This window comes from Homo sapiens, chromosome 10 (genome assembly GCF_000001405.40).
Source record: "Homo sapiens chromosome 10, GRCh38.p14 Primary Assembly".
Classification (NCBI taxonomy): domain Eukaryota; kingdom Metazoa; phylum Chordata; class Mammalia; order Primates; family Hominidae; genus Homo; species Homo sapiens.
The window spans coordinates 18,593,101-18,614,051 of record NC_000010.11 but is presented as its reverse complement, the minus strand read 5'-3'; the positions used below and the strand labels follow the sequence as shown (position 1 = coordinate 18,614,051).

Genomic DNA, 20,951 nt, shown 5'->3' with positions numbered 1-20,951 from the left:
TTACCAGAAACCTAGCACTCACATGAATATTTGTGTTTAAAAATGAATGTTTAGGTTTGTTCAAACTAAATTAAAATATAGTCTGTTCTAAATCATTCCTGGTTGCTAGTGGCCCTAAATAAATTGGTGGAAAAATCCAGGCTCTTATTTTACTTAGTTTTTTCAGGCTTTTTGAGTTCTGTGGACAGCTCCATTACTCCAAAGTTCATGGCTGACATAGACATGCTGAAAGCTGTGAATTTCTCCCTTTAGAATTGGACGATATCCCTAATTGGTGGAACAGTTTTTCATGTTGCAACAGTTTGGGTTTGTAATTGAAATTCATTCGTTCTTCTGAAGAAGTTGACTGTTGGATTCCCTAGATCTAGGTAGCAGCACTTTCCAAATGGCCAAGAACAAAGATTTTATTCTTTTTAGAAGGCTTCATGAATATAAAGATTATGTGCATATATCTGCTGTGTTTATCTTTGGACCTGTAATTGGTAATTGATATTTTGACTGCCTCCATTAGTTCATTGTTAATGGTATACTTTTCATTCTTTTAGGTTATTTGATGTTGTTCCAGTTATCGTGCTGAATAATGTTTTCTGAACAATGTTCTGAATAATTTTTTGTTGGTGGAAGTTAGGAGGCAACCAACTTTCAGCCACCCTTTGGCCGGGCGTGGTGGCTCACTCCTGTAATTCCAGCACTTTGAGAGGCCAAGGTGGGCGGATCACTTGAGGTCAGGAGTTCGAGACCAGCCTGGCCAACACGGTGAAAGCCCATCTATACTAAAAATACAGAAATAAGCTAGGTGTGGTGGTAGGTGCTTGTAATCGCAGCTACTCAGGATGCTGAGGCAGGAGAATCGCTTGAACCCGGGGGGTTGCAGTGAGCCCAAGATTGCACCACTGCACTCCAGCCTGGGTGACACAGTGAGACTTCAGAATTTCAAAAAAAGAAAAAAAAATTGGTTTTTAAACTCAATTTATTCAGTTATACTGTTGGAAGTTTTGTCTCTTCCGGTGGAAGAAGCAGGCTGCTATAACAGAAATGCTACATGTACACCCTGTTTCTTATTTATATTCCTTAAAAAATTTTAAACCAACACAACTAATGGTACAATTGCTATTCAGTTAGTGAATTTGAGTCCTTTGCTTTCTTGAATTCCAGGTGGGTTGAATCATTCATAGATTCACGGAGGCAGATTAATTTACTAACAGACTGTGTTAACATACGCAATCTTGTACTTTGCATTATTATATGGAGATATGTGGCTACAAAAGTATTTTTTAAAGAAACATGTAATCTCATACCTGAATAATAATTGGCTTAAATTATTCTTCGTTATGTTAAGTTCAGTGATTTATAGCACTCACTTGTTCTGGTAGGCGTGGTCAGAAGGAGATAGTCGAAGAGCACCAGAATCTAAAGTAGTAGTTAGGAACTGAGTTAGGAAGACAGGCATGAACATTTTCAAGTTTCAGTATTTTTTAGAGGACTGGAGTCCTGCAAGTCAGAAAGTCATTTAAATTATGGAGTGATCAGACTATGGAATTCAAGATTTTCAATAATAGTTGTAGATTCTGGGTATTGATCAAGGTAAGAGTACCAGGTGTCACAACAAAGGACTGACTTTGCTTTTTTCTTTTAGAAATAGGGTCTCGCTCTGTCATTAAGGCTGGAGTGGTGTGATGAAAGCTCACTATAACCTTGAATTCCTGAGCTCAAGTGATCCTCCTACTTCAGCCTCTGAGTAGCTAGTACTATAGGCACATGACACCATGATCAGCTGATATTTTAATTTTTTTTTCATAGAAATGGGGGTCTTGCCATGTTGCCCAGTCTGGTCTTGAATTCTGGTCTCAAGCAGTTCTCCACCTTGGCCTCCCAAAGTGCTAAGATTATAGGGATGAGACGCCACACCCAGCCAGGACTGGCTTTCAAATGTGAGTCAGTGACATTTCAGAAGCTTCGTTTGTATATTTTCTGCTCAGGAGCAGGGGATATTTGCCTTGGAAGTGGATACAGTGGTTTGATTTGGTCCTGACTGGAGCAGCAACTGAGTTTTACCTCTGATTAAAAGTGTACATTCATGGATTTCAAGTGGTAAACAAATGAGTAAGGTAGTAAAGGGATGAGAAGAGGAAGAAAAGGAGTCAGCATTTATTGTATGCTAAATGCTGTTAGAACTGAGGGCGCCAGGCATGGTGGCTCATACCCGTTATTCCAGGAACTCCGGAAGCTAAGGCAGGAGGATCACTTGAGTCTAGGTGTTTGATGCCAGTCTGGGCAACATAGTGAGACTGTACACACACAGACACACACACACACACACACACACACCATAGTGAGACTCTGTCCACACACACACTTACCTGGCATGGTGGTGTGTGCCTGTAGTCGCAGCTACTGGGGAGGCTAAGTTGGGAGGATCACTTGAACCCAGTAGTTAGAGGCTGCAGTGAGCTATGATTGTGCCACTGCGCTCCAGCCTGCGTGACAGAGTGAGACCCTGTGTCTGAAAATAAATAAATAAAACCAACAACAAAACCGAGGGGAGTTTATAGTCATACCATTTCAGTAATAGTCCACGGGTATCTACTGACGTTATTTTACTCTAAAGACCAACATAAACTTATCCTGCCAACATTAGATAGAGTACACACCATCTATCTACACATGCATGTAGATGCATGTCTGCCAAGATCAACTCATAAACTGTTCCATAAGCTAGCTATGAACTTGTCTGCCATACTGCTTCTAAGACTTTATCTTTGCTCATCCTAATGGAGTCCTAATGGGACTCTCCTTGGATTGTACCCTTAAACTAGGTATAAGTTATGATTTTTAAAAAAAATTTTTTTAAAAATTTTATTTATTTGGGTGCTCGTTGCCCAGGCTGGAGTGCAGTGGCGGGATGCTAACTCACTGCATCCTCCAACTCCTGGGTTCAAGGGATCCCTCCATTTCAGTCTCCCGAGTAGCCAGGACTGACTACAGGTACACTCCACCATGCCTTTGTAATTTTTTAAATTTTATGTAGAGATGTTGCCCAGGCTGCTGTCAAACTTCTGACCTCAAGTGATCCTCCTGTGCCAGTCTCTCAAAGTGCTGGGATTACAGGCATAAGCCACTGTGCCGGCTTAAATCCTGATTTTTATACTTCCCTTTTAATGAGACTATACTTTTTTCTGTGCCGTCCTAATCCCCAGAACTCTTTGAATTTCTCCATGTTTCTCCTTTCGCTTGCTTTGTCTGCTTTGGCCTGACACACAAGGCCAGGCTTGGCTTTGTCTGACAGGATTTGCGTGTTCTTTCTCTGCTTCAGTAGCCTCTGACAACATCTCTGAGATTGTGATGTTTGTCTTGATGAGTCATTCTCCACCAGGCCATCTGAGTCCTGGCCCTTCCTGCTCTGATCATTTTCAATGCCACTCCTAAAATGGGACAAAGGTGGAAAAGGTTATCCTTGGGATTGTGTCAGTACCAGGCAATTATTCTATAAAGAGCTGACAGGAAGTAGTAAAGAATGAGGTGGTATTTGCTTTTTAGTCTGTTCAAATCTCTACAGAAACACATTTGTGCTTAAATGAAAAATTTATGTAACTTTTTCCTTTTTAGTTCTGATGGCTTCGTATTCTGCAGGTAAAAATTCAAAAACAATTCACAGGACTACTTTATGTATTTTGTTGTTTAATAAAAAGAGTTCTTTTTTTTTGAGACGGAGTTTCACTCTTGACGCCCAGGCTGGAGTGCAATGGCGCGATCTTGGCTCACTGCAACCTCTGCCTCCCAGGTTCAAGTGATTCTCCTGTCTCAGCCTCCTGAGGAGCTGGGATTACAGCTCCTCACCTGTCACCTGTCACCACTACAGCCTGTCACCACGCTTGGCTAATTTTTTGTATTTTTAGTAGAGACAGGGTTTCTCCATGTTGGTCGGGCTGGTCTTGAACTCCTGACCTCAAGTGATCCTCCCACCTCTGCCTCCCAAAGTGCTGGGATTACAGGCTTGAGCCAAAATAGTTCTTAAAAAGATAGAGCATCTTATGTTTGACAGGCTATTGGAGAACGTTTCTGGAAACATAGTTTGTATAGACCATGGAATTTATACAGACTAATGTTAGATTTCCTATTTTTCAGAGGCATGGGCATAAGAATGACAGAACCAGTATATCTCAGCCCTTCATTTGACAGTGTACTGCCCCGTTACTTATTTTTACAAGTAAGTATGTATAAAAGTAAAATATTTAGTGACATTGAAACATACATCAGTGAATTATTTGAAATCTAGGATATTTTAAAATTTAAGATTTTTTCTGTGGTCTACTTACATACACTGATCTACCTTTGGTTAAGCAGTAAGAAAAAACTTTACAAGCATTCTCCTTTCTTTTCTTTTTCTCATTTGATTTTTAAACTACTTTTTCTATCTTTCTTTGCCCAAAGGTGATTTAATAACTGATTAAAATGACTGCTTTCCATCTCAAAATACTAATCCCTGAATATTGCATGCATTTGATATACATGTGTGGTGTTCCATTAGTAAATCATTTGACTTGTTATAGTCTGCTGGTTTGGTAGTATTATTATAATTCACAATATAAGATGAAGTTACTGAAGAACAGATCTGTTAGGACTCTTGGCCTATGTCACACTCCTGGTAACTGGTGGTATCTGAACTCAAACCTAAGTCCAAATGTTGTGTGCTGCCCCACCTTCTCTGTCCAGTAATAATAATAATTATTATTATTATTTTGAGACAGGCTCTCACTCTGTTGTCTAGGCTGGAGTGCAGTGGTACAATCGTAGCTCACTGTAACCTCAAACTCCTGGGCTCAAGCGATCTTCCTGCCTTAGCCTCGCAAATAGTTGGGACCACAGGTGTGCACTACTATGCCCCACTCATTTTTTTGATGTTTTTGTAGAGATGGGGTCTCACTTTGTGGCCCAGGCTGGTCTCAAACTCGTGGCCTCAAGTGATCCTCCTGCCTTGGCCTCCCAAAGTGTTGGAATTATAGGTGTGAGCCACCGTACCTGGCCTTTGCCCAGTATTTAGCCCACAGACATTTTATGAATTCAGGGATTATTTCTGGTGTGAACAAACAGAACAACGGACGTTTATTATTATCTATTTGCACATTGGTGATGTTCTAACACATTAGGATATATAACCTAACATACAATTGTTTATGAATCATTTTGGGAATTTTCGTTTGCTAATTTTAGTTTCAGTGGAGTTTTTTTGTGCTTGTTTATTATGTAATTCATTTTCAAACACTTGTGTTCATTTGGCAACGTAGCCCTGAGTCATTGCTAGTGATACCTGCACTCCTTCCAGTTAATAATGTTTAATGCAATGTTAGTTTTCTCTTTGGTTTGACAGTACCTGCTCATCTCATAATTTACAGTGGTTTTTTTTTTTTTTTTTGAGACAGGATCTTACTCTGTCACGCAGGCTCGAGTGCAGTGGCATCATCTTGGCTCACTGCAGCCTTGACCTCCCAGGCTCAGGTGATCCTCCTCCCACCTCAGCCTCCTGGGTAGCTGGGACTACAGCATGCGCCACCGCACCCTGCTAATTTTTTGTATTTTTAGTAGAGATGGGGTTTTGCCGTATTGTCCAGGCTGGTCTTGAATTCCTGAGTTCAAGTGATCCTCCCGTTTTGGCCTTCCAAAGTTCTGGGATTACAGGCATAAGCCACCATGCCTGGTCATTATTTAGTTTTGACTTTATAAAAAGAGAAATCTAGTATAGTGCAGATTTTCTTTTTACACTTTTTTGCTATCTATAGCTGCACTCCTTCACCTTAAAATCAGTTTAATGATGACTTTATGAAATATTGTGAGTCATTTTGTGATTCATACTGTCCAGACTACCATAGAGCCATATTCTTTGTCACTGAATAGCAAGGGACATAAGAATTTCCTGCCAGAATGAAGCTTTTGCATCTGAGGGCAGAGTTTAACTTTTTGTCATTTCTCTAGTGAAAGCTGTTTTATTTCATGTAATCTATTTTGATGGCCAGTTTCTGATGGCCATTGAAACTTATAAGGGATGCTAATGGTAATCACAGCTAACACTGACTGCTTATTGTAGTCCATGTACTGAGCTGAGTGTTTTACATATATTATTTCATTTACTTCTTACAAACCTTCAATTTCATAGATAAGGAAATAGAGGCTTAGAAAAGTAAAGTGCATAGCCTGTAGTAGGTATTAGTAGTTTTTCAGTGATTAAAGGAGTAGTTTGTTGTGTGCTGCATAGGTAAAAATTTGCAGAGTCAAAATTTGCATTCAGGTCTTTCTGATTTCAAGCCTGTATTCTTGGCCCCATGCCAATGCTCCAGATGTAACCCTTGGAAGATCTGCATCTGAGTCACCAGCAGGGCCTTTTGAAAATGCAGTTCTTGGGTCCTAATTTAGATGTACTGAGTTCCAAGTTCAGGGGGTAAGGGCTTTAAGCAATTCATATATTACATTAAATTTCTCAGTTTCTTTGACGGTTTCCCAAAAACTCTGTGGTCAGTGTTTAGTTAGTTGATCTTTTTGTGTTATAACTTCCTTTTCAAGCTGGTTCAGAACTACCAGATTCTTAACTGGGTCTTACCTGATCCATAAAATCTAAATAGCTTAATTCAATGCAGACCAGAACCAGGTGATATTCATTTCTCTAAGGAAAATTTTGAAAGAATGTGCAGAAGAGTAAGTTTAAGAAGAATGTGGAATTTTAAAAATTGATAATTATCCTTGAATTTTTACATACATAATGATTCTCACAAATAGAACAAGTTTCACATTTACATATAATAGTAATATAAAACGCATTTGAAATGTTTCAAGAAGTTGCCTTTGTTTTCAGGCAAACATACTTGAATGCTTAAGTGACTATAAAGTGGATTAAATGACAGTCCCTGAAAGTACATCATGTGAGAGGCATCATCTAAATGAAAATGCTTTTCAATAGTGTTAAATCATTGCAATAGATGCTGATACTTTAATAATATATTGAAAATTATTTTTGCTTTTGTCAGTATCCATGCTTCTCTAACAGCTAAGAAGCTCTTGGTAGCCATAATTTGCAGTTTTCATTTTGGTTTCAGGGATTGATTAACTTAGATCTAATATGGAAGATGCCCAAGCCTTTCATAGGTCTCAGCCAACACAGGGAGCCTCATTATCCCACAAATTCTATAATTTAATAACACCGTTGACCAAGACTGCAGTGAATTTGTATGTATCAAATCACTTGAAAAACTTGTAATATGGGTACCTAGAGTCTATTCCTGGATTTTCTTTTTAATAAAGATTTTTTTTCTACTTCCTCTCATCAGGTTGAAAAGTTTTTATTTAAGAATAATTTCAGAATTACAGAATAGAATTTTAGAATTATAGATTTGCAAAGACAGTCATTTCTATATACCCTTCACCCAGTTTCTCCTAAGGGTAATATACTACCATGGTACATTTGATACAGCTTAGAAACCAACACTGGTGTGTTACTACGTTATGAATGTTAGGTACGTAGCTCCAAATGCTGTGAATATCACATTACCCTAAACTCCAACTGGTATTCAGATTTCACCAGTTTTTCTCATAATGTCCTATTTGTGTTCAGGATCCGATCCAGGATCCCACACTGCATTTAATCATGATGTCTCTTCTGGCCTGCGATAACTATCTTGCCTTGTTTGTAAGACCTTGACAGTTTTGAGACTAAGGTATTTTGTTAATGTCACTCATTTTGGCTTCATCTAGGCTGGGGTTGTTGGATTTTTGAGAAGAATACCACAGAGATGAAGTGTCCTTATCAGGGGGTACATGATAACCCCCTGGAGATTGTGAGTAGGCCTACAGGAATCTGCTGTTTGTGTATTTTGCACTTTTAAGTGTATTGTGATACAGACCCAGATTTGGGAACCATCATACAAAGAAGTGTCCACTTTAGTTTTTTTCTTTTTTCTAACATAATGACCAATAATTTTAAAATATTTATTATGCATCAGGCACTGTGCTGAACCCTTTTAGGCCTTGTGTAATTTCTTTTTTTCCCCCATCATGTCTATCTCTGATCCAGCAATCTCACTTACTATCTTCAGTCAACTTTTATTTCTTATATATATTCTTTCCGTTTTGTCATAAGTTGTTTAATAGAATTGTTCCATTTTGGAGAATAATGTTTGTCTCTCATGTGCTTCCATTATTTCTGTAGACTGAATGTATTTTTTTATTAGATCCCTGTCATAAGAAAACTTGCTAGAATCCTTAGGTTGTATGATGTTTCATACTGTTGCACCCCCTTACCATTACTTATTGATGCTGTAGGATGTTTTCCATGTGTGCAACAAAAGTTGACGTGTAAGCCTCAGAGTGTCATATCTGGAGTTAGACCACAGCCATGTGTCTCTTACTGGTGATGTTTGTTTTGACAGCCTATCTAGACGCCAACTGATTTCACCACAACACATATATTTATGTTTTCTCCCCCTTATAACTAATAACCAGTCTGTGGGGAGACATTTTAAAAAATCATTCAAATCCTGCTCCTAATTCAAATTTCCCCCTCGATTTTGCATCCATTGATGATTTTTGCCTGAGCTAGTTGTTACTGTTACAGAACAATGATTTTCCAACTTTGCCAGTCAGGAATGGGCACTTCAATATAAGAGGACTCCCTTCTTCCCTTTTTATTTACTTACTTATTAACAGCGTATACTCACAAATTCCTATTTTTTCAATGATTTATAGTTCATTACTATATTTAATTATTTTGGTGCTGAAATTGTCCCAGATTTGGCCTGTAGGAGCCCATTCCCAAATTAATTTTAATCCACATAGTATGAAACAATTTTTCTACACTTTTTTTTTTTTTTTAAGGGAGTCTCGGCTAGGCACGGTGGCTCACGCCTGTAATCCCAGCACTTTGGGAGGCCGAGACGGGCGGATTACGAGGTCAGGAGATGGAGACCATCCTGGCTAACACGGTGAAACCCCATCTCTACTAAAAATACAAAAAATTAGCTGGGCGTGGTGGCGGACGCCTATAGTCCCAGCTACTCAGGAGGCTGAGGCAGGAGAATGGCATGAACCCGGGAGGCGGAGTTTGCAGTGAGCCGAGATCACGCCACTGCACTCCAGCCTGGGTGACAGTGTGAGACTCCGTCTCAAAAAGAAAAAAAAAAAAAAGAAAGAGTCTTGCTCTGTCACCCAGGCTGGAGTGAAGTGTCACGATCTCGGCTCACTGCAACCTCCCCCTCCTGGGTTTAAGCAATTCTCCTGCCTCAGCTTCCCAAGTAGCTGGAGCTACAGGCATGCGTCACTACACCCAGTTAATTTTTGTATTTTTAGTAGAGATGGGATTTCACTATATGTTGGCCAGGCTGGTCTTGAACTCCTGAGCTCAGGTGATCCACCCGCCTCAACCTCCCAAAGTGCTGGGATTACAGGTGTGAGCCACCATGCCTGGCCTTCCTACACTTTAACGTACAAATATAATAAAAATCTTGTGGGATTTGTTAAAATGCAGATTCTGATTCATAAGTCTGGAGTGGATTCTGCGATTCTGTATTTCTAACAAGTTCCCAGGAAATTTGGATTCCCCTGATTTGCGGGCCATACTTTGAGTAACAAAGCAGTGGGAAGATCTGAGAAGCTTCAGTCTCTAAAATTGAAGAGCATCCCTTCACATTTTACATCTTCCTATTATGCTGCTGGATTTTTTGCATGATAGAACTGCTAATTTAAATAAATGTGTATTGTGGAAACTTGCTTAGATCCTTGAAGTATAAACATGTAGGTAGAATAACTTTGTGATCATAAGGTTTCTTCTCTATCTCACCTGTCATCTATCACTTGTAAGTGATACTTCTAACAAGTCTGATGCTTTTTGATATGGAGGCTCACTCTGTCGCCCAGGCTGGAGTGCAGCGGCACGATCTCAGCTCACTGCAGCCTCCGCCTCCCAGGTTCAAGTGATTCTCCTGCTTCAGCCTCCCGAGTAGGTGGGACTGCAGGCCCCCGCCACTATGCCCAGCTAATTTTTGTATTTTTAGCAGAGACAGGGTTTCACCATGTTGGCCAGGATGGTCTCGATCTCTTGACTTCGTGATCTGCCTGCCTTAATCTCCCAAAGTGCTGGGATTACAGGTGTGAGCCACCACACCCGGCAGTCTAATGCTTTTAAGTTGTGTGTAGTTAGTGCTCAGCTGTTGCTTTTGGCAGTAACTCACTTTCAGCTTATTAAATATAAAAGAAGGATTTCATTTTACTGTTGTTATAATAAAAAGGGTGTGTGGCCAGGCACGGTGGCTCACGCCTGTAATCCCAGCAGTTTGGGAGGCTGAGGTGGGCGGATCACCTGAGGTCAGGAGTTTGAGACCAGCGCAGCCAACATGGTGAAACTCTGTCTCTACTAAAAATACACACACACAAAATCAGCTGGGCATGGTGGCGGTGCCTGTAATCCCAGCTATTTGGGAGGCTGAGGCAGGAGAATCACTTGAACCCGGGAGGCGGAGGTTGAAGTGAGCCTAGATTGCACCATTGCACTCCAGCCTGGGCGACAAGAGCGAGACTCCATCCCAAAAAAAAAGAAAAGAAAAGAAAAGAAAAAGAGCGTGCATATAGTTCAGGAGTGCTGTTCTTGCACCTCCACCAATATGTACATTCCATTGAGCAGAGAGATCTTATTTACTTTCTTAACTCCAGTGCATAGACCAATGTCTGATACATAGTAAGCACTCATTACATTTTGTGGAGTAAATGAATAAACCATCTGTCTACTGTTTTGATTCTGTATTTTATTTTTTTGAGACAGTGGCATAATCTCAGCTCACTGCAACCTCCGCCTCCCAGGTTCAACCGATTCTCATGCCTCAGCCTTCCAAGAAGCTGGATTACAGGCGTGAGTCAACCACATCTGGCTAATTTTCATATTTTTAGTAGAGACAGGGTTTTGCCATGTTGGCCAGGCTGGTCTCGAACTCCTGGCCTCAAGTGATCTGCTTGCCTCGGCTTCCCAAAGTGTTGAGATTACAGGAGTGAGCCACTGCGCCCGACCTAATTCTGAATTTTAAAAGCATTAATAGGCTAGGACTTATGTAGAGGTTGTATATTTTGGTCAATAAATGTTTATTAGTCTGATATTAGCTTGATAAGCCTCATAAATAACTTTGACTTACCACTTGTAGCTACTTCCTTTTTGAGATGGAATACTATGCAAGAGTAACTGGTAGTTTCAAAAAAATGCTGAGAAAAATGCATCCCTCACCGATATACCCTTCAACCCACTCAGACTCTGAAAAGACCCAATAGTAAAAAATAGATTTTTCTGGAAGTAGGGAGGAGACTGGACTGCCAAAGGCTGCCAGGCTGCCCCGTGAGTATGCAAAACCCACCATAGGCTGGGCGCGGTGGCTCATACCTGTAATCCCAGCACTTTGGGAGGCCAAGGCAGGTGGATCACTTGAGGTCAGGAGTTCGAGACCAGCCTGGCCAACATGGTGAAACACCATCTCTACTAAAAATACAAAAATTAGGCCGGGTGCGGTGGGTTACGCCTGTAATCCTAGCACTTTGGGAGGCCAAGGTGGGCGGATCACGAGTTCAGGAGATCGAGACCATCCTGGCTAACACGGTGAAACCCCATCTCTACAAAAAATTAGCCGGGCGTGGTGGCGGGCACCTGTATTCCCAGCTACTCGGGAGGCTGAGGCAGGAGAATGGCATGAACCTGGGAGACGGAGCTTGCAGTGAGCCGAGATTGCGCCACTGCATTCCAGCCTGGGCAACAGAGCAAGACTCCGTCTCAAAAAAAAACAAAAAAAAAAACCCCACAAAAATTAGCTGGGTGTGGTGGTGCATGCCTGTAATCCCAGCTACTTGGGAGGCTGAGGCAGGAGAATCAGTTGAACCTGGGAGGCAGAGGTGCAGTAAACTGAGATTGCGCCACTGCATTCCAGCCTGGGTGACAGAGCGAAACACCATCTCAAAACAAAACAAAACAACCCCACCATTACCAGGAAGGGGGAATTACCTGTCTCACAAAGCCACTCTCCCCCAGCATCTTGATGGATTTATTTCCCTTTTTTTTTCCCCCGAGATAGAGTGTTAGTCTGTCACCCAGGCTGGAGTGCAGTGGTGCAATCTCAGTTTACTGCAATCTCTGCCTCCGGGTTGAAGCAGTTCTCCTGCCTCAGCTTCCCAAGATGGGATTACAGGCGCCCACCACCATGCCCAGCTAATTTTTGTATTTTTAGTAGAGATGGGGACCATGTTGGCCAGGTTGGTCTCGAACTCCTGACCTGGTGATCTGGCCGCCTCAGCTTCCCGAAGTCCTGGGATTACAGGCATGAGCCACCAGACCCAGCCTTATTTCCTTTTATAAGTAAAAAAATGAGAACTGCTAATCCAGCTGGTTTGGGGAATAAAGTGTTTCTTCACCCCAAACCCCAAAACTCATCCAGCAGCAATGTAGGGAACCTCAGCTCTAGTGCCCTGTTTCCTGCTCCTAGTTCTGCTCATAACTGTTATGTCTTAGTCCAGCCACTAGGAAAATTACTCCTGCCACATCTCAGTAAGGAGCTTTGAGGTTAAAGGGAGCTGAACATACACTGAAACACTCGGTTCCTTGGAACAAAGGGTTCAAGTTGAAATCCAGGTGTTATTCTGGTTTGCTACTTTCCTGCAGTTCTGCCATTTGAAATCTGGGCCCACAGAGAAGTCTGTGACGTAGTTTCATTTTGAACTAAAATTCTATTTTGCTTGGCATGTTTCAAAATATCTTCTAAAATACAGGGAAAAAGATACTCAAATCATGAGCTGCATCTTCATGCAAGATAACATTCTAGGAATCTATGCCAGCTTTGATTTAAAGTTGGCTTTGTGCTAGGCACTTTGAATATATATTATCTCAAGCCTGCACTGGTTTATAACTTAAGAAAACTGATACGGTTTCTTGAATGACATTCAATAACTGGTTAACTTGAGAAGATGAGGTAGTTCATAAGGTGAGTGGCCAAAGTAGTTACACCTTGAAATCTGTCTACCAGGCACAAGAGTTTGGCAGCTAGTATATAATATATATATATATACATATATATATATATATGTATATATATATATATATATTTTTTTTTTTTTTTGAGATGGAGTCTTGCTCTTTCACTCAGGCTGGAGTACGATGGCATGATCTCCACTCACTGCAACCTTCGCCTCCCAGTTTTGAGAGATTCTCATGCCTTAGCCTCCTAAGTAGCTGTGCTTACAGGTGTGTGCCACCAAACCCAATTAATTTTTGTATTTTTAGTAGAGGTGGGGTTTCACCATATTGGCCAGTCTGGTCTCAAACTCCTGACCTCAGGGGATCCACCTGCCTCAGCCTCCCAAAGTGTTGGGATCACAGGCATGAGCCACTGCACCGGCCAGGTAGTAGTCTCTTCTCTTTTTTTGTTTTATTGAGGCTTTGTCTCCCAGGCTGAGTGTGGTGGTGGGATTATGGCTCACTGCAGCCTTGATCTTCCAGGCTCAAGTGATCTTCCTGCCTCAGCCTCCCAAGGAGCTGGTACTATAGGTACACAGTACTATGTGAAGCCAATTTTTTATTTTTTTATAGAGATGAGGTCTCACTATGTTGCCCAGGCTGGTCTGGAACCCCTGGCCTGAAGCGGTCCTCCGACCTAGGCCTCTGAAAGTGCTGGGATTACAGGCATGAGCCACCACAACCGGCCTCTTTTTTCATTCTATGTGATTACTGAAATTATTGTACAGGACAGGAGGACATAATTACATGCTTTCTTGTGCAAAAATATTTGGGAAATTTGTGGGGTTTTTTTTTCGTTTTGCTTTGGTTTTTGATGACTCTTGCCTCTTCCTGGAAAACTGTTATCCCCCCAAGCCAATACCCCCTGTGGCTTCCAACAGCCAATACAAAAGCTTCACATTGTGATGGGGGCTTTTTAGTGGTAAGTGGGGTGTATTGTGAGGGGCTAGTGATAAGGGATAATTTTTAATTTTAGCATCTTACATTACCCAAAGATACTTTGTAAAGTTAATAGAAGTGTTGTACACAGTCATTAAAATTACAACTGTACTATATTATTTGGTTTTCCAAAATCAAAAAGGAAACTTTTAAATTGCTTAAACACAATCCACAGAATTAAGAAGTATTAGATGCCCTTCAGTTGAACTAATTGTCTAATAAAGGGTTGACAGTTAAATACAGCAACTGTTTTCAAAGTTATATTCTTGGTTCACTGGAAGAAAAAAATGGTGCCTGAAACTGAATTTTTTAATTGCCTCATTTCTTGTAAACAATTTAAAGAGGTTGGACAATCTAGGGAGCATTCAATAAATACTCCTGCCTGGCCCTACCACCTATGGCGGCCTTCCTTTGTCTGGGTTAGAGCCTGGGTCAGATGTTTGAAAGCTTTCATAGGTGATTCTAATGTGCAGCTATGTGGTAATCAGTGTAGTCCAGCAGTGGCGCATGGCTCCATGCCCACTAGAATCACCTAGGGTGATTTTGAAACCACTGATGCTCCAGTGTTGGAAATTCTGACTTGATTTTACTAGATAAGGCCCAGACTTTTCTTCCTAAGCTTACCCGGTGATTATACTGCATAACCAGTGTAAAGGAATATTATAAAGGAAAGTTGTAAATTATTTTAAGAAAACTCTGTCACCGGGCACAGTGGCTCACAGCTGTAATCCCAGCACTTTGGGAGGCCAAGGCAGGAGGATAACTTGAGCCCAGAAGTTTGAGACTAGCCTAGGCAACATACTGCAACCCCATCTCAATGCTTGATCTTAGCCAGAAGTCCAAGAAGTGATATAGTGCTACCCCATCTCTACAAGAAATTTTAAAGATTAGCCAGGTGTGGTGGCACACGCCTGTAGTCCTAGCTCATTTGGAGGCTGATGTGGGAGGATTTCTTGAGCCCAAGAGTTCAAGGTGGCAGTGAGCTTTGATTGCACCACTGCACTGCAGCCTGTGTGACAGAGCAAGACTCTATCTCCAAAAATAAAAAATAAGCCTGCTATTTGAATATTTAATTAAGCCTCGTCACATGGGCTGTTTTATATTTTTTCACTTATTACAAATCAGAAAGTTCTTAATGTATTTCTTATGTTTGAATGGAAACTTACATAATCTTTGGCCAATCCATTAATGTTATCATTTTTAGGAGTGAAGCATAGCCAGCTGTCTCTAGATAAAGAATCACCAAATCTTTAGCCGCTTTAAACGTGTATTAGTGTTTTCATCTTGGAGTTCAATTTAAATATTTTTGTAATAAATAAAACTTGCTGCCAGGTATACTGGCTCACTCCTGTAATCCCAACACTTTGGGAGGCCTACGTGGGCAGCTCACCTGAGCCCAGGACCATCCTGGGCAACTTGGGGGAACCCTGTCTCTACAAAAAAATACAAAGAATTAGCTGAGTGAGGTGATGTGTGCCTGTAGTCCCAGCCATTCGGGAGGCTGAGGTGGGAGGATTGATTGAGCCCAGGTGGTTGAGGCTTCAGTGAGCCGTGGTTGTGCCACTGCACTGCAACCTAGGTGACAGTCTGAGACCCGGACAGCCTGGGTAACAGAGCCAGATCCTGTCTCAAAAATAAAAATAAATAAGTAGAGCTTGCTGGATAAACTATAGTAGGTTAAGCTATTTTTAGTGTTTAGTGTCTCACGTGTCCATGTGAAGAGACCACCAAACAGGCTTTGTGTGAGCAGCAAGGCTGTTTATTTCACCTGGGTGCAGGCGGGCTGAGTCTGAAAAGAGAGTCAGCAAAGGGTGATGGGATTATCATTAGTTCTTACATGTTTTGGGATAGGCGGTGGAGTTAGGAGCAATGTTTTGCGGGCAGGGGTGGATCTCACAAAGTACATTCTCAAGGATGGGGAGAATTACAAAGAACCTTCTTAAGGGTGGGGGAGATTACAAGGTACATTGATGAGAGTGGGGCAGAAACAAATCACAATGGTGGAATGTCATCAGTTAAAGCTAATTTCACTTCTTTTGTGGATCTTCAGTTGCTTCAGGCCATCTGGATGTATACATTCGGGTCACAGGGGATATTATGGCTTAGCTTGGGCTCAGAGGCCTGACACTTAGCTCTTTGGGTGCCTAAATTGTTTGCATTGATTTTAATGCTTCATATATTCAGAGGAAGAAATTTGCTTGTTTGAAACTGCTTTCTCACCACTGAGTTTGTTTCAAAGTGGTGATCTTAGATTCCCTTGAGAATGTTGTAGCCATCTCACAGTTTTTTTGTATGTTTGTATGTATTTATTTATTTATTTATTTTTAGATGGAGTTTCGCTCTTATTGCCCAGGCTGGAGTGCATTGACGCTATCTCTGCTCACTGCAAACTCCACCTCCTGGGTTCAAGTGATTCTCCTGCCTCAGCCTCCTGAGTAGCTGGGATTACAGGCATGTGCCACCATGCCCAGCTAATGTATTTTTAGTAGAGATGGGGTTTCTCCATGTTGGTCAGGCTGGTCTCAAACTCCCGACCTCAGGCAATCCTCCCGCTTTGGCCTCCCAAAGTGCTGGAATTACAGGCATGAACCAGCACTCCTGGCCATCTCACAGTTCTTGAGGGTGTACTAATGGATGTATTGTTCAGTCTTTTGGTAGGAATGAATTGAAACCTTTAAGCTTTAAGAGGCACAATTGTGAGGATCCCAAATTTGAACCCAGCTTAAGCAAAATAATGAGACTCTGTCTCCAAAATAACCAAACAAGTAACTCCATGCTTATAAGACTCTGTTTTTCTTGCCAAATAATTTTAGAAATGAGTTATTTTATGATACTGTTCTATCTGTTTTATTCAAGGCTATCATTCTATAGTAAGTAGTCCTTATATAATTGATACTAATAACAAATTAATGATTTAATATGACTTACTGCTATAGATGAGGTATGTTTTGGTTGTATAACCTCATAATATATATTTAGGTCCCAGTCAGAAACAGCCAGGGTTTGAGGTTTTTTGTTGTTGTCGTTGTTTGTTTGTTTGTTTTTGCATTTTAGTTCATTTCCTGTTGAAATGTGGTGGAAGCAGGGACCCAAACATGCCTTTTGGGTGATTTAGCAGCATAAAACAAGGCATCTTAAATGAGAGTTAGATGATGAGGCGGCCAAAATGGCAAAGTTATATTCTTGGTTAACTGGAAGAAACCAATTATTTAATATTTATGTGTTCCCAAGTGGAGTTTAAATTATTAAAGTGAACAATGCTGAGATTGAAGTACTCTCAGATGATATGTCTATATGAAAATGGCATGCTTTTGTACTAAAATGCTGAGTAATGACCGCTGAGACCAAAATTTTGTACATTTTTTGGGAAAAAAGTCCAGAGTGGTCCTGCAATTTTAGAGGTCTCTGGCTTCCAGAATATTGAGAACCATTGGGATTCAGAAAAGGAAATAATATGGGTTATTTATTTATTTATTTTTTGCTGGTACCCAGAAAATACTGATAAGGCAATTGAGTTCAGTTGACTTGAAAATTGTGTCATGTATATTTTTGCGCAGGTGGTTTGTGTGTAAGTCCTGGGAGATCGTAGGATATTCTAGGAAATTGTGAATTTCCTAACCTGAGTATATTTATAAAAATTGTCCTCTTAGCAGACGTGAGGATGCTGTAGTGGATTACCCCCAAAGGGTTCTTTATATTCTCTGGTTCTCAAATTAAAAATGCTTTAGGATTATTGATAATCGATTACATTTTTTTCCTTATAGAATTTGCCATCTGCCTTAGTAAGTCATGTACTAAATCCTCAACCTGGAGAGAAGATTCTAGACTTGTGTGCAGCACCTGGAGGGAAAACAACACACATTGCAGCACTAATGCATGATCAGGTGAGACTGTCTTCACAGCAAATCCACTCTCAAAGTAGTGTATATTTCACAATGTGTAATTTCTGAAACATAGAGCCATTCACAGTCTCATTTAGTTCAGATTCAGCCAAAATGAAAACTATTCAGTTATGTCAGTCACTACATATTAAGCTCAGTAGACAATGATCATTTATGAAGACTGTCTCAAGACCGTCTTGAATTTTACAATTTGCTTATATGATTATAGACTTAATCTGTTAAGAAATTAAATTTAATACATTTAGATTATTTCATTTTCTTATAAGATTTCATAGTTGTTTAAACTATTAAAATATATTCTGCCATTAAAAACTAATTTCACAGTATATTATCAAAGTGTGAAATATGTATATGTTAAAATATATAAACATAGTTGTATAATACATAAACATATACACATACATATAGAATATTTACTATTTGAAGTTATCATTTTGGTCTAAGAAAGATCTCCAATAAAAAAGGATATTTTTTAAATACTGAGAATGAGAATCAAAAAAGAGAAAAGGATATTTGTTGTTTACATTTTGAGGAATGTAATACTCATTAGAGAGGATATACTTGCCTGCTTATTTATACTCTTCTTTGCCCCAAAAGAATTTAAGGTGGTAACAAAAACTCTTGAAGGAAAAATGCATTAAATACAACTAGGGCCTAAAATAAAGCACCTGAAATAAGAAGGGTTGATTTTGTGGCGTTGTGATGTTTAATGCAAATCATTTTTCACTTTATATGGAAGATTAAAGATTGATCATGATCGGCTTTGAGAAAGTGTTAATTCTCCATTAAATTATGGCATATTTATCGTATTTGCTTAAAGGTAATTATTCATAGAGATTTGGTTCTCTCTTAGTAAAAATGTCTTTCCAAAGGGAGTCTGGATATTATGGGTGTATCAGTTTTCTGTTGGTTTTATGATGTGTGAAGACACAAAATTTTGGCGGCATACAACTAAACATTTTGGGGGCTCAGGAGTCCATGGGATTCAGCTGATCCCTGCTGGGCTCACTCATGTACTGGTCACCTGCAGGTGAATTGGGTGTTTCTGATGATCTTGGGTGGGCCCATTCACTTGGTCTTGGATGGTTGTTGGCTCATCTAAAGTGGCCTCAGCTGAGATGACAGGGATGCCCTGCCTCTGGCCGATGTGTAAGTTCTCCCCTGATTGGGACCAGCAGGCTGGCCCAGCAGAGGGCAGTAGTTGGGGGCTGGTGATGGCAGAGAGCAAAGCAGAGCAAGTCCAACTGTTCAAGTGCTTTTCATGGTATTAAAAAAAACCTCTGCTTACATGACATCTACTGTCACCCTATTTATTGGCCAAAACAAATCACATGACTGAATCCCATCAGAGTGACAGCATATTGGATATTGCAGGATTATCTGGTGAAGAGTGAATATACATGGAAAGTTGAAGAATTGAGGCTATGTAGGCAGTCAGCCACAGTGGGGCAGCAATGCAGACACGAACAACCGGAATAGAAATATTTGAGCCACAATTGGATCACGAGGTTAAGAGATCGAGACCATCCAGGCCAACATGTGAAACCCCATCTCTACTAAAAATACAAAAAAAAGTAGCTGGGCATGGTGGCGTGTGCCTGTAGTCCCAGCTACTTGGGAGGCTGAGGCAGGAGAATCGCTTGGACCTGGGAGGCAGAGATTGCAGTGAGCCAAGATCGCGCCACTGCACTCCAGCATGGGTGACAGAGTGAGACTCCGTCTCAAAAAAAAACAAAAAACAACAACAACAAAAAAAAACAGAAAGTGTCTATCACTGAACCTGGTAGTATTTGAGGAATATTTACAAATTGTCTGCATTGTAGGCTATGCCATTGCTGCATATGGCATACAAGGGCAGTGTAAAAGAAAAGGGAAAACAAAGCAAGAAAATATATAGAAGAGTCATTCTCACTGTATTTGCAATTCCATTTCATAGTATGTTTTAAAATATATGAATGTCACCAGGCTTGCTTTCTTTTTTTTTTTTTTTCTCAGAGTCTTGCTCTGTCGCTGAGGCTGGAGTGCACCGTGGCCCAGTCTTGGCTTACTGCAACCTCCGCCTCCCGGGTTTGAGCGATTCTCATGCCTCAGTCTCCCAAGTAGTGGGGCTTACAGGTGCATGCCACCACACCCGAATAATTTTTGTATTTTTAGTAGAGATGGGGTTTCACCATGTTGGCCAGGATGGTTTCAAACTCCTGGCCTCAAGTGATCTGCCTGCCCCGGCCTCCCAAAGTGCTGGGATTACAGGCATGAGCCACTGTGCCTGGCCCACGATGCATTCTTAAAATTTTGGCCCTTTTTTTTTTTTTTTAATTGTGCTTTAAGTTCTGCAATACACCTGCAGAATGTGCAGGTTTGTTACATAGGTATACATGTGCCATGATGGTTAGCTGTACCTATCAACCCGTTATCTAAGTTTTAAGCCCCACATGCATTAGGTATTTTTCCTAATGCTATCCCTCCCCTTACCTCCAACCCTTTGACAGGCCCCCGTGTGTGATGTTCCCCTCCCTGTGTCCATGTGTTCTCATTGTTCAACTCCCACTTATGAGTGAGAACATGTGGTGTTTGGTTTTCTGTTCCTGTGTTAGTTTGCTGAGAATGATAACTTCCAGCTTCATCCATGTCCCTGTAAAGGACATGAATTCATTCATTTTTATGGCTGCTTAGTATTCCATGGTGTCTATGTGCCACATTTTCTTTATCCAGTCTGTCATTGATGGGCATTTGGGTTGGTTCCAAGTCTTTGCTATTGTAAATAGTGCTGCAGTAAACATATGTGTGCATATGTTTTTATAGCAGAATGATTTATAATCCTTTGGGTATATGCCCAGTAATGGGATTGCTGGGTCAAATGGTATTTCTGGTTCTAGATCCTTGAGGAATCGCCACACTGTCTTCCACAGCGGTTGAACTAATTTACACTCCCACCAACAGTGTAAAGGCTATTTCTCCTATTTCTCCACATCCTTGCCAGCATCTGTTGTTTCCTGACTTTTTAATCGCCATTCAAACTGGCGTGAGATGGTATCTCATTGTGGTTTTGATTTGCATTTCTCTAATGACCAGTGATGACGAGCTTTTTT

The 20,951-nt window shown here is 40.7% G+C and overlaps 1 protein-coding gene across 21 annotated transcripts in view; it reads left to right on the top strand.

The window, feature by feature from the left end:
* NSUN6 (NOP2/Sun RNA methyltransferase 6) overlaps positions 1 to 20,951 on the top strand; it is a 113,767-nt gene that overhangs the window by 45,276 nt on the left and 47,540 nt on the right. For all 21 annotated transcript variants that reach the window (XM_024447884.2, XM_011519385.2, NM_001351116.2 and 18 more), the window contains 2 exons: positions 4,126 to 4,207; positions 17,725 to 17,844. In XM_024447884.2, the coding sequence (XP_024303652.1) occupies positions 4,126 to 4,207; positions 17,725 to 17,844 (202 nt within the window). The remainder of the gene's footprint in view (positions 1 to 4,125; positions 4,208 to 17,724; positions 17,845 to 20,951) is intronic.